The 14,086-nt window shown below is 42.0% G+C and overlaps 1 annotated feature.

Annotated features, from left to right (window-relative positions):
* Nucleotides 3,585–4,784: an enhancer, noted in NCBI's record as "CDK7 strongly-dependent group 2 enhancer chr4:24599261-24600460 (GRCh37/hg19 assembly coordinates)". NCBI's record gives its function as "activates an origin of replication core promoter dependent on BRD2, BRD4, P300/CBP, MED14 and CDK7 cofactors, with strong dependence on CDK7, by STARR-seq in HCT116 cells {active_cell/tissue: HCT116}" and the evidence as "EXISTENCE:reporter gene assay evidence [ECO:0000049][PMID:35650434]".

The raw sequence follows: 14,086 nt of genomic DNA on the forward strand, positions 1-14,086 counted from the left end.
AGGTTGCAGGGTAAATTGCCATGCTGAAATCTGAAGAGATGTGCAAGTTCAAAGAGTCACAGCAGAGGTCTGCTTACTTTGAGCAGAAGCAACCAGAACCATAAATTGGTAGAAACACTTAAGTGGTTACTTTGACAAATTTCTAGAGTCTGAGTATGAACTGTCGATGATGAGAAACTCCTGGGTATTTTGATGTTAGGGAGACCCCCAGACTTTAATGGGTTTTCCTCCAGAAACCCACTCAGTTTGCACAATGAAAAGCTAAGAAAGATGTCCCCGTGGCTCAGGCAGAGAAAGAGAAGAGTAACCATTGTAAAGCATGCCCAGAACATTGTCCATATAGAAGTCCTACTTTTCAGGGAAAAGACTTTATGGGAGCCTTATCCCAACTTGGAAATGGGCATTTCACCTGCACCCAGCCCACTAGCCTTATTGTCTACCTAAGGAAATTTTAAAAAGCTAACAAACATTCATGAAGGTCACAGCTCAGGGACATAGGCCTATTAAAAGACTAAGATTTAATTACAGGATTACAAAAGAGGCCAGGCACAGTGCCTCACACCTGTAATTCCAGCACTTTGGAAAGCCAAGGTGGGCAGATCACTTGAGCCCAGGAGTTCAAGAGCAGCCTGGGCAACATGGTGAAACCCTATCTCTATGAAAAATACAAAAATTAGCCAGCATGGTGGCAGGCGCCTATAGTTCCAGCTACTCAGCAGAGAAGCAGGGGTGGGTGTGAGCACTGAGGCAGGAGAATTGCTTAAGCCTGGGATGCAGAGGATGCAGTCAGCTGAGATTGCACCGCGGCACTCCAGCCTGGGTGACAGTGAGACCCTGTCTCAAAAAAAAAAAAAAAAATTACAAAACACTTTCCCTTCCCACTCCTTTCTACCACACCAACATAACTCTAGTATAACAGCAGTGGATTACAGCTGGAAAAGGTCCAAGACACAGACTCTAACTAATGCTTCATTCTTAGAGAATCCCAAAGTCAACAGGGGAGACTAGAGAACACTAATGGAATTTGAAACCTCTAGCCCCTCTAGCTATAGCAAACATTAAACACAGTTCAACTTCTAGCCAGATTAACATAAAACCTCACACTAAATGCCTATTTACTTCGGTTCCTATTACCCAATGCATCACAGTAGATTTCAACAGAAAATTGCAAGGCATACTAAAAGACAAGAGAAAACATAGTCTGAAGAGACAAAGCAAGCATTCGAATCAGGCTGAGATACGACATAGATTTTGGAGTTATCAGACAGGAAATTTAAAATAACTATGATTAATGTGTAAAGGACTCTGATGAAAAAAGTAGACAGCATGCAAGAGCAAATAGGTAATATAAGATAGATGAAAAAATAAAAAAGAAATCCTAGGAATAAAAAATATTATAACATAAATGAAGATTGCCTGTGATGGGCTCATTAATAGATTGGACATGACCAAGGAAAGAAACCATGAGCTTGAAAATAGTTCAACAGAAACTTCCCAAACTGATATGCAAACAGAAAAAATAATTGAGACCAGAACAGAACATACAAGAACTTTGGGACATTTCAAAAGTGTAACTATGTGTAATTCGTACCAGAAGAAGAAGACAGACAAAAAAGATCAGAAGAAATATTTGAAATAATAATGGTAAAAAAATTTTCAAAATTAATGACAGACATACAACCACAATCCAGGAAGCTGAGGATGGATCAAACAGGATAAATACCAAAAGGATATTTGCATACAACTATGCAACAGGATATGCAAACAGGATATGCATACAACTAGGCATATCATACTCAAACTGCAACAAAGCAAAGATAAAGAGAAAATATTTAAAGAAGTGAAAGAAAAATTTTTTTTACCTACATAGAAACAATGATAATAATCACAGTGGACTTCTCATCAGAAAACTGCCAGGCATAGTGACTCATGCCTATAATTCCAGCACTTTTGGAGGCCGAGGGTTGGGGACCACTTGGGCCCTCCACGGTAGTTCAAGAGCAGCTTGGGCAACATAGCAAGACCCAGTTTCTATCTGGAAAAAAAAAAAAAAAGAAAGAAAAGAAAAGAAAAAAAAAAAAGAAACCAACCAAGCAAGAAAAGAATGGAGTAAACTATTTAAAATGCATCAAGCTATAATTTTAGGTACAGAAAAATTATCCTTTAAAAGTGAAAGAGAAGTAAATTTTTAGTCAACAAAAAATGAGAGAATTCATGGCAAGCAGAACTGCATGCAAAAAATATTAAAATAAGTTCTTCAAGGAAAAAGAAATTATTTAAGTCAGAAACTTAGACCTACATAAAGGGAGAGCATTGAAGGAATAAATGAAGGTAAAATAAAATCTTTTATTTTTTTCATTCTTAATTGATCTGACAGATAACTGTTTAAAGTAAGAGTAACAATGTCTTGGGAGATTAGAGCATAGAGACAAGTGAAATGAATGGCACCAATGTAATGAGGGATGGGAGGAAGTGGAGTTATTCTGTTGTAAGTTACCTACACTACACCTGGAGCAGTATAATGTTATTTGAGGATGGACATAGATTAGGTTAAAATAGATATTGAAAACTCTAGGAGGTCAGGTTGGGGAAAATGGTGGAGCAGGAAGCAGGAATAATCTGTCTCTCCATGCAGGTAATACTGGCAGAATCTGTCTTACTTAACTCCTTCTGGAGTCTATAGAAGGCTTGCAACTTCTAGAGGAAGGTTTGGAATATAAGTTGTGGTTAATTTCTGTCAATTTCAGCACTTAGCATAGTAGCAACTACCCATCCCTCACCACACATCTACAAGGCAGGCAGCAGTGCATAGGTTCCTGAAGCAGCTTACAAACATTTTGGGGGGTTGAGCAAAAAGGACTCTGTCCTTCAAATATTAGTACTCTGTGCTTGATCGCTGAATTTTTTTTTTTTTTTTACAGAGTCTCACTCTCTCATCCAGGCTGGAGTGCATTGGTGCAATCTCAACTCACTGCAGCCTCTGCCTCCTGGGTTCAAGCAATTCTCCTGCCTCAGCCTCCCGAGTACCTGGGATTACAGGCACCTGCCACCACACCTGGCTGATTTTTGTATTTTTAGTAGAGATGGGGTTTCACCATGTTGGCCCAGGCTGGTCTTGAACTGCTGGCCTCAAGTGATACGTCTAGAAAGTGCCAGGATTACATGCGTCAGCCACCACGCCTGGCCCTGAATGTCACTTCTGAACACAAAAGATCAGAGAGATACAAAGGGGTGAGTGGCCATTATTGTTGCACCTACCCTCAGTTGTTGCAAACTCCTCCAGCTCAAGTGACTTTGCGGGATTTAAAAAGCCAGCACCTTTCGCTCCCTGCTTCATTTTTTCTTTTTCTCTTTTCTGGACCCAGAGATAAAAAACAATGACATTAAAAACAACACATATAGGAAAACTTATAAAGTGACTAAACATGACCAGAGTAAGGCCCAGAAAAAAACCTGAGAAGACCTTAAGTTTACACGTCAGTCTGGCTCTTGGCCCAGAGACAAACTACAACAATTAAAAATAAATAAAGAAAAACAATAACAAAACCAGCAAACCTTGGGAAGAAGGAGAATCTTATTTCCAGAGTTATCACATTATTGTATTCAAATGTTTGCTTTTCAATGACAAAAAAAAATCATAAAGCATATAAGGAAACAGGAAAATATGGCCTAGTCAAAGGAAAAACAGTAAACAGAAACTGTCCCTGAAACAGACTTGATGGCGGATCTACTAAACTGTCTTAAAGATGCCAAAAGAACTAAAAAAAGATGAAGAAAGTCAAAACGGAAATACCAATAAAAAGGTAGAAGAGCTAAAAAGAAACCTAAAACAAAGTCTGGAGCTGAAAAACGCAGTAACTAAAATGAAAACTTCACTGGAAGTATTCAAAGGGAGATTTGAGCAAGTAGAAGAATGAATTAACAAATTTGAAGGCAAAATAATGGAAATTTTTGAATCTGAGAAATAGAAAAACAATTTAAGAAAAGTAAACAGATCCTAAGAGACTTATGGGACACCATTGTAGCAGGCCAGGTTTCCATTAGCAACCAGAACAGTTTCCACTAACCCTTTACTATAATTATGAAGTCATAAGTTAAACATTAGAGAACTGGAGAAACCGGTGCCTGAGTATGAGGGCTGGAATGAGAAAACAAACCCATTAAGATCCCGCCTGGGTTTTCTCAAACCCTAAAGTCTGATCGAACAATAAAAGCATTCTTACACCTACACCTCATACCAGGGCTCACTTAAGATTAAGAAACTTTCAGCTGGGCGTGGTGGCTCACACCCGTAGTCCTAGCACGTTGGAAGGCCAAGGCGGGCAGGCAGATCACCTGAGGTCAGGAATTCAAGACCAGCCCCGCTGTAGTAGAGAAACCCCATCTCTACCAAAAATACAAAAATTAGCCAAGTGTTGTGGTGTGTCCGGAATGAGTGGGTTCTTGGTCTCGCTGCCTTCAAGAATAAAGCCGCAGACCTTCAGGGTGAGTATTACAGCTCTTAAAGATGGTGTGTCCAGAGTTTGTTCTTTCAGATGTTCAGATGTGTCTGGAGTTTCTTCCTTCCGGTGGGTTCATGGTCTTGCTGACTTCAGGAATGAAGCTGCAGACCTTTGCGGTAAGTGTTACAGCTCTTAAAGGTGGACCGTCAGCAGTTGTTCATTCCTTCTGGTGGGTTCGTGGTCTCGCTGGCTTCAGGTGTGAAGCTGCGTCCCCTCGCAGTGAGTGTTACAGCTCATAAAGGCAGCACGGACCCAAAAAGTGAGGAGCAGCAAGATTTATCGCAAAGGGCTAAAGAACAAAGCTTCCACGGAGTGCAAAAGGACCCAACCGGTTTGCCACTGCTAGCTTGGGCAGTCTGCTTTTATTCCCTTATCTGACCACCCCCAATCCCCCACCACCACTCACATCCTGCTGATTGGTCCATTTCACAGAGAGCTGATTGGTCTGTTTTACAGAGAGCTGATTGGTCCATTTTTGACAGAGTTCTGATTGGTGCATTTACAATCCCTGAGCTAGACACTGAGTGCTGATTGGTGCATTTACAATCCTCTAGCTAGACATAAAAGTTCTCCAAGTCCCTGCTAGATACAGAGTAGTGATTGGTGCATCCACAAACCCCAAGCTAGACTCAGAGTGCTGATTGGTGCAAATACAATCCTCCAGCTAGACATAAAAGTTCTCCAAGTCCCAGGAGCCCAGCTGGCTTCGCCTAGGTCCTGAGCCCTGGTGAAAATTCAAGCGTGGCTTGGGAGGGCTGGCAGTGCTGGGGTACCTGGCACACCCTCCGCAGGTACTGGCCCAGGTGCTTAGCCCCTCACTGCCCGGGGCCAGCGACGCCAGCTGGCTGCTCCAAGTATGGGGCATGCCGAGTCCGCACCTACCAGGAACTCGCGCTGGCCTCCGAGCCCTGTGCGCAGCCCCTGTTCCCGCCCGCACCTCTACCTCCACACCTACTCCAAGCAGAGGGAGCCGGCTCCGGCCTTGGCGAAGCCCAGAATGGGGCTACCACAGTGCAGTGGCGGGCTGAAAGGCTCCTCAAGCACGGCCAGGAGGGACGCCGAGGCCAAGGAGGCACCGAGAGCAAGTGAGGGCTGCTAGCACGTTGTCACCTCTCAGTGGCACGTACCTGTAATCCCAGCTACTTGAGAGGCTGAGGCAGGAGAATCACTTGAACCCGGGAGGCAGAGGTTGCGGTGAGCTGAGATCGCACCATTGCACTCTAGTCTGAGAGACAAGAGCATAACGCCATCTCAAGAAAATAAAAATAAAAAATAAATTTAAAAAAACTGATTAAGAAACTTTCCAAGACTCCAGAGAAAGCTTTCCAGACCCTAGACCCTAGTTAAAGATTAGATATAGAGTGAATGAAACACTCCTGCTTGTAGATGCAATTCTACATGTAGCATGGAGCTTAAAATGTATGTCAGCACTAGCAAAAAACTTGTAACTTTGAGTTGGTATGGTGAGTTACTTCGACCTTCTCTCTGTAACCGGTTGCAGAAATAAACTCCCTTCTTTCCCAGTCTGTCTGCATCTTGTTATTGGATCACAGAAATGAGCAGCCAGACCTTGTTCTGTCCAGGAACAATTCTGGTGACTCCTCAGGGATGGATCTGTGCTCAGTGGCCAGTGGCTTCTAAGTCGACAGTCATCGGGAGACTCCCAACAGCTGCCAGGTACGGTTTGTCCTGGGGAGTCTCCCAAGGACCTTCCCGGATGCAAAGACCCCCTGTCTCTCTATTACTGGGGAACAACAGAGGCTGGGAATGGAGCTGCTCAAAGGGTTAAGTAAAACCTGATGGAAAGCTGGGGGTCTATTGTTTTCTCTATTAGAGCTCATGTAGCCATTTTTTTCAGTACTGTTGAGGAAACAATAGGACTCCTTTGTATACCCGGTCACGGTTAATACTGAGTATCAACTTGATTGGATTGAACGATACAAAGTATTGATTCTGTGTGTGTCTATGAGGATGTTGCCAAAGGAGATTAGCATTTGAGTCAGTGGGCTGGGAAAGGCAGACCCACCCTTAATCTGGGTGGGCACAATCTAAACAGCTGCCAGCGTGGCTAGAATACAAGCAGGCAGAAAAAAGTGAAAAGAGAAACTGGCCTAGCCTCCCAGCCTACATCTTTGTCCTGTGCTGGATCCTTCCTGCCCTTGAACATTGGACTTTAAGTTCTTCAGTTTTGGAACTCGGACTGGCTCTCCTTGCTCCTCAGCCTGCAGACGGCCTATTGTGGGATCTTGTGATCGTGTGAGTTAATACTTAATAAACTCCCGTTTATATATTCCATGAGTTCTGTCCCTCTAGAGAACCCTGATTAATACACCCACTTTACAAAGTTAGAGGACCTATTTGCATTTGTTTGTGAAAATTCATTTGTTCTGTTGGTCTGATATTAAGTTTAGAGTAGTCAGTATGGGCAACAGGGCATCTATCCCTACAAATAGTCCTCTGGGAAAAGCTTTGTCAGATTGGAAGCACGTTGGTTATCTGCTAATGACAAGAAGAGTTAATCTTCTGTTGTAACACATCTTGGCCAATGTATGTTTTGGGGTCTGAGAAATGGTAGCCAGTTTTTGGATCTTTAAATTTTCATACCATTTATCAATTAGAATTGTTCTACCAGAGGTCAGGTAAATGAGGTGAAATACCTTACATCTGGGCATTAATGTTGCTAAGGAAAAAGGAAATAAGCTAACTTGGCAATGCACTGCCAAGTCTGTCCTGACTCACAAGGGGAGGAAGAGAAAGCCTTTGAAACCCAATTTAATGAATAGTTAATGAATACCCTAAACCCCATAGTGGCTACTGCCGCAGCTCAGGAAAGAGAGGGAATGCTACCCATAGAGTACAGGAAGGCAGCAGGGCTACTGTCTCCCTCTAGGACTAGGCAAGGTACTAATTTTGGCCAGGGAGTCACTGAGTCTGGAGCAGGGAAGTTCCCACTGTAACAATATTCAGTAGGAGTCAATTAGCAAGGAGCTCCAGCCAACATTATTGGGCCTATAATACCACTGTATTTGCTACACAGTGCCCACCTGGGCAGATGTGCAGGCTCTCCTAAGCATTATGCTCACTGCAGATGAGCGGCAGCTGGTTTTCAATAAAGTGAAGGAAGAGGCGCAATGACTTCATCATGAAAATTCAGACAACACAGATCCGGGGGCGGCAATTCCCCACAGGGACCCTAATTGGGATATTGTAGAGGACATACATCCCACTGTAGCTAACCCATATACTAAGTTCATTTCTCTTCCTGGAGATTATAAATGGCTGACAGTATTGGATTTAAAAGATGCTTTCTTTTGCATACCCATAGACACAGAAAGTCAACTGTTGTTTGCCTTTGAATGGATAGATCTTGAAGCCGCAACGTGGTTTCAGTATCATTGGACTGCACTCCCACTAGGATTTAAAAACTCTCCACATATATTTGGGGAAGCCTTGGCTTGAAATTTAAAGAGTTTAAAATTGGAAAATGGGGTATTGTTACAATATGTGGGTGATTTACTAATACCTAGCCTCTCTGAATGGGAATGTCAGAATAACACCATTAAAACTCTTAACCACCTAGCCACCCGTGGGTATAAGGTTTCAAGTAAAAAAGCTTAGATATGCCAACAAACTGTGGCATACTTAGATTTTCTCTTGCAGGAGGGAGCTAGAGCTCTAATAGTGGAAAGACAAAATGCAATCGCTTCCATTGCAGCACCCACTACCAGAAGGTAGTTGAGAGGATTTCTAGGCAAGGCAGGGTTTTGTTAGATCTGGATTCCTAACTATGAACTACCAATGAAGCCGCTATACAGTCTGTTAAGGGACCTAACAATGATGCCTTCGATTGGGAGCAAAACACCAGCACTCATTTGGACAACTGAAATGTAAGTTAACCTCCACCCTATTCCTGGGGCTCCCAAATCCTCATAAGCCTTTTCAATTGTACATGCATGAGAGACTGGGTCTAGCACTGGGGATCCTTAACACAGAAATTAGGAGAAATCTTGCAGCCACTAGGCTTACTTTCCTAAACAACTGGATAATGTGGCCAAAGGCTGTCTCCTGTTCAAGGGCGGTCACTGCCACCTGCCTACTATTAAAGGAGGCTGAAAAGTTGACTTTGGGACAGCCTGTTACTGTCTACGTGCCTCACCAAGTACTAGTGTTACTAGAACAAAAGGGAGGCTACTGGCTGACAGTGGGCAGATTGAGCAAATACCAGGCCACACTCCTAGATGAACCCACAGTAAAAGTGCAGGTTACCAGAGCCTTGAACCCAGCTACTTTACTTCCCTCTACCGAAGAGCCAAAAGAACTTATGCATAATGTTTACCAATTATTGACTAAGGTGTTTTCCAGTCACCCTAATTTAAAGGACACAGCCCTGCCATATGCATACTGGACATTGTTCATGGATGGGAGCAGCCTGGTAACCGACAGAAAAAGAAATGCTATATATGTAATGGTAACGTTTTCAGAGGTCACAGAAGCCAGGACTTTACCACTAGGAACCTCTGCACAGAAGGCAGAACTGATTGCCCTTACAAGAGCCTGCAGTTGTTCCAGGTAAACAAGGCACTTGGAATAAATTGCAGACTATACTCAGCATGGAGACCACAGTCTTCTGGACAGACTGAAAGGAAAATCCAGCACTAAAAACAGTTATTGCCAAACTGTGCCAGGAAACTCAACCAAAATGAATTCAGGTACTTGGCATTGCATTGCTCTGGGTAAGAATGACCTCCCCAGATGTGGGATTAGGTTAAGTCCTGTGAAATGATACATGAGAGACCCTTTTGGGTTACTAGGGTGCCCCTTAATAAGAAGTCAACTATTAAACATTGTGTTACTCACTTGGGACAAATTCGTAACGTTTTGCATAAGCTTGCTTTCAACAACAGCATTGTGAACTCAGCAGAGCCACGCCACTCTTTCCAGTCCCGTGATCAAGTACTGCTAAAGAGTAGATGGGAACGGGCCCAACTCAGCAGCTACAGGAGAAATGGAAAGGGCCCTACTGGTGCTGCTAACTGCCAATTTCAGCACTGAAACTGGCGGGCATCAAGCCATGGATCCACTACACATTGTAAAAAAGTTCCTGCCAAAATAAATGTTCATAACAGAGGTCCCCAAGATAGCCAAATAGGAGGCAGAACCCCTCAAAGTCCTAAGATTTCTGTACAAAAAAGATAGGATTTTTTAAATAATATTTTTTCTTACTACATCTTTTGTTGTTTCTTTCTATACTCCTAACCTTTTCCTATGATGGTGTATTAGTTCAGATTCACACTGCTTTAAAGATACTACCTGAGACTAGGTAAAAGGAAAGATGTTTAATTGACTCACAGTTCTGTATGGCTGGGGAGGCCTCGGGAAACTTACAATCATGGCAGAAGGTGAAGGGCAAGCAAGCGTGTTCTTCACAAGGTGGCAGGAGAAAGAGAGCAAGCAATTCCCACACTTTAAAACCATCAGCTCCTGTGAGAACTCACTCACCATCATGAGAACAGCATGGAGAAAATCACCCCCATCATCTAATCACCTCCCATCAGGTCCCTCTCTCGACACATGGTGATTTCAACTGGAGATGAGATTTGGGTGAGGGCATTGAGCCAAACCATATCAAATGGGCACAAGATTATGCAGATAGATTACAACAAGACTCGTGCTGGGTCTGTGGTCTATTACCCCTCTCTATCACCAAGGCACTGCTTTGGTGGGCCTCCCCTATACAATGAAAAGATTAGGTTTCTTTATAGATCTTAAACAATGGACAAGGTTGCAGATGACTGGGGTAACTAGAAAAAATATTTCAGAATGGCCTATAAAGAAAACTTTAAATGATCACCGATTCCTCCTTGAGCTGCAGTTAAAACTGAATGTTGTATGTATGTTCCTGATAACTCAGGAAACATTGGTTTAGCTTTAAAGGATATGCACCAACAGATCAAGGCAATCTCTAGTCCTGCACTGTCTCTCCATGAATTGACAGCACCTTGCTTTGATGGGCCACCTTCCTGTGGCAGAAAATTGTTGTTGTCTTAGCTATCCTCCTGGGCGTAAGTATAACACTATGCTGTGGACTATATTATTGTTGTATGCTGTTCCCAAACATTCCTTGAGCTCATAAGATCATGTTTCAACAAGCACTGCCTTTGAGTCCCCAAAGTTGAGAACATTACCAATGCCAAATAAACAACTTCCATTCCAGTGCCCCCTGACGATGACCCTCTCCAGCAGGAAGTAGCCAGAGAGAATACATTGCTCACTTCCTCTTAGTTTGCCACATCATAGTTTGTACTCTTGTACTAATCTTTTAACAAATCAGTGCTTGGGAAAATTAACTAACATGATAGAAATCATGTAAAAATTGACAGTGGGGATTGTGGTGAGCTAGGTTTCCATTAGCAACCTTTACTATAATTTTGATGAGTGCACAAGTTAAACATTAACTTATCTTAATATTAACTTCCTCCATACTATGTGTGGAATTGCGCCTACAAACAGGAGTGTTTCATTCAATCTATATCTAATCTTTAGGGTCTCGGGTCTGGAAAGCTTTCTCTAGAGTCTTGGAAAGTTTCTTAATTTTAAGTGAGTCCTGATGTGAGATGTATGTGTAAGAATGCTATTATTATTATTTAGGGTCTGAGAAAACCCAGGCAGGGTCTTAATGGGTTTGTTTTCTCATTCCAGCCTCATACTGAGGCACCAGTTTCTCTAGTTCTTTAATGTTTAATTTATGCATTCATCAAAACTCTAGTAAAGGGTTAGTGGAAACTTACTCTTCTTGCTGCTGATGGAAACCTGGTCTGCCTGCCACACCATCAAGTGGACCAATATACACATTATGGGAGTTCTAGAAGGAGAAGAGAGCAAGAAAAGGGAAGTGAGAATATTTCAAGGAATAATGTCTGTAAACTTCCCAAACTGTACTTCATGAGAATGTCTTCATCAAAAGACATTCTCAACAGAGTAAAAAGGCAGCCTACAGAATGGGAGTAAATATTCACAAATCATAGTTCTGATAGGGGATTAATATCCAGAATATATAGGGAACCCCTACAATTCAGCAACAAAATAACAAAAAACCTGATTTAAAAATGAACAAAGGACTTGAACAAACATTTCTGCAGAGAAGATATCCAAACGGCCCATAAATACATAAAAAGATGCTCAACATCACTAATCAGTAGGGAAATGCAAATCAAAACCACAATGAGAAACCACTTCACACCCATTAGGATGCCTATTATTCTTTTAAGAAAGAAATCAGCAACTGTTGTGAGGGGTGTAGAGAAATTGGAAACCTGTGCATTGCTGGGGGCAATGTAAATTGGTCTGGCCACTGTGGAAATATATAAAGTATAGAGATTCCTCAAATATTAAAAATAGAATTACCTTATGTCTTAGTCCATTTTCTGCTGCTAGAACAGAATATCACAGATTGGGTAATTTACAAAGAACAGAAGTTTATTTGACTTACAGTTTTGGAGGCTGGAAAGTTGAAGAACATGGCATCATCATCTGGCAAGGGTCAGTTGGAAGACTAAAGGCAGAAGCAAGGGCATGAGACAGAGAGAAAAAGAGGCTGAACTCCCACAATAACTCACTTTGGCAATAACAGCATTAGTTTATTCATGAGAGTAATGCCCTCGTGACCTAAACACCTCTTAAATGCTCCACCTCCAAATACTGTTACAATGGCAATTAAATTTCAACATGAATTTTGGAGGAGGCATTCAAACCATAGCACCATGTGATCCAGAAATTCTATGTTTGGGTATATATGCAAGATAATTGAAAGCAAGGACTCAAAAAACAGATATTTGTACAAGAATGTTTATAGCAGCATTATTTACAGCAGCCAAAAGGTGGAAACAATCAAAATGTCCATTAGCAGGTGAATGAATAAACCAAATGTCATATATGAATAAATGGAATATTATTTAGCCTTAGGAATGAAATTCTGACACATGCTGCAACAGGAGTGTCCAATCTTTTGGCTTTCCTGGGCTGCATTGGAAGAAGAAGAATTGCCTTGGGACTCACATAAAATGCACTAACACTAACGATAGCTGGTGAGCTGGAAAAAAAAAAAAAAAGGTTCATGCACAAATCTCGTAATGTTTTAAGAAAGTTTACGAATTTGTATTGGGCCGCATTCAAAGCTGTCCTGGGCCTCATGTGGGCCAGGGACTGCAGGTTGATTAAGCTTGTGCTACAACATACATGAATCCTGAAAACATTATGGTGAGTGAAATAAACTACACACAAAAGAACAAATATTGTATGAGCTCACTTCATTGAACTACTTAAAGTAGTCAAATTCATAGGCAGAAAGTAGAATGGTGGTTGGCAGGGGCTGAGGAGAAAGGGGGAATGGGGCATTACTATTTAATGGGCACAGATTTTCAGTTTGGGAAGAGTGAAAAAGTTTTGGAGATGGATGGTGGTGATGGTTACACAACAATGTGAATGTACTCGATGCCACTGAACTGTACACCTAAAAATGGTTAAAATGGTCATTTTATTATTTGTGTATACTTTACCATGATAAAGCATCTTGGGAAAAAAGATTAAAATGCTTGCCTCCTTAAAGACCTAAAAGACAAATAGGCTGTGGTTCCCATTATATCTCCATTTAGAATAAACATCTGGCCTCTGCAAAATTCAGGCAGATCATGGAGAATGGCAGTGGATTATCACAGACCTGACCTATTATTTTAACAGTATCTCCAATTACAGTTTCTGTTCCAGATATATCTTTGTTAGAACAGATAAGCAAGGACTCAGGTACATGATATGTGACCAATGATTTGGCAAATCCATTCTTTCTCTGTTCCTATACAAAATAGAATCAGAAATGATCCATGTTTCTTTGGAATGCACAACAATGTTCCTTTACAGCTTTGTCCCAGAGCTATGTTAACTCTGCTGTCCTCTGTCATAACATAATCTGAAGAGACATGGACCAGCTGGAGGTGCTGCAGAATAGCACACTGGTCCACTAACTGATGACATAATGTTAGTTGGACCAAATAAACAAGAGTAGCTGGGAGGTTGAAGGCCTTGATAATTCACATGCACTCTTGAGGGAAATAAACCTTAAAGATTCAGGAGCACACTGCATAGGTAAATTTTGAAAAGTCTGGTGGTCTGGGGTATGCTAGGACATCGCTTAAGTAAAGGAGAATTGACTGCATCTTGTAGTTCCCATCACAAGAATGGAAGCACATTGCATGCTAGGCAGCCCTTTTCAGGTTCTGTAGGCAAGGTATTCCCAGAAGTACACTTCCAGCTCACATACTGGTTGACACAATGGTTGCTATTTTTCTTTTTTTCTTTCTTTCTTTCTTTCTTTTTTTTTTTGAGATGGAGTCTCGCTCTGTCGCCCAGGCTGGAGTGCAGTGGCTCGATCTCAGCTCACTGCAAGCTCCGCCTCCCGGGTTCATGCCATTCTCCTGCCTCAGCCTCCTGAGTAGCCGGGACTACAGGCGCCCACCACCATGCCTGGCTAATTTTTTGTATTTTTAGTAGAGATGCGGTTTCACGGTGTTAGCCAGGATGGTCTCGATCTC

The sequence above is a fragment of the Homo sapiens genome, chromosome 4, assembly GCF_000001405.40.
Source record: "Homo sapiens chromosome 4, GRCh38.p14 Primary Assembly".
Classification (NCBI taxonomy): domain Eukaryota; kingdom Metazoa; phylum Chordata; class Mammalia; order Primates; family Hominidae; genus Homo; species Homo sapiens.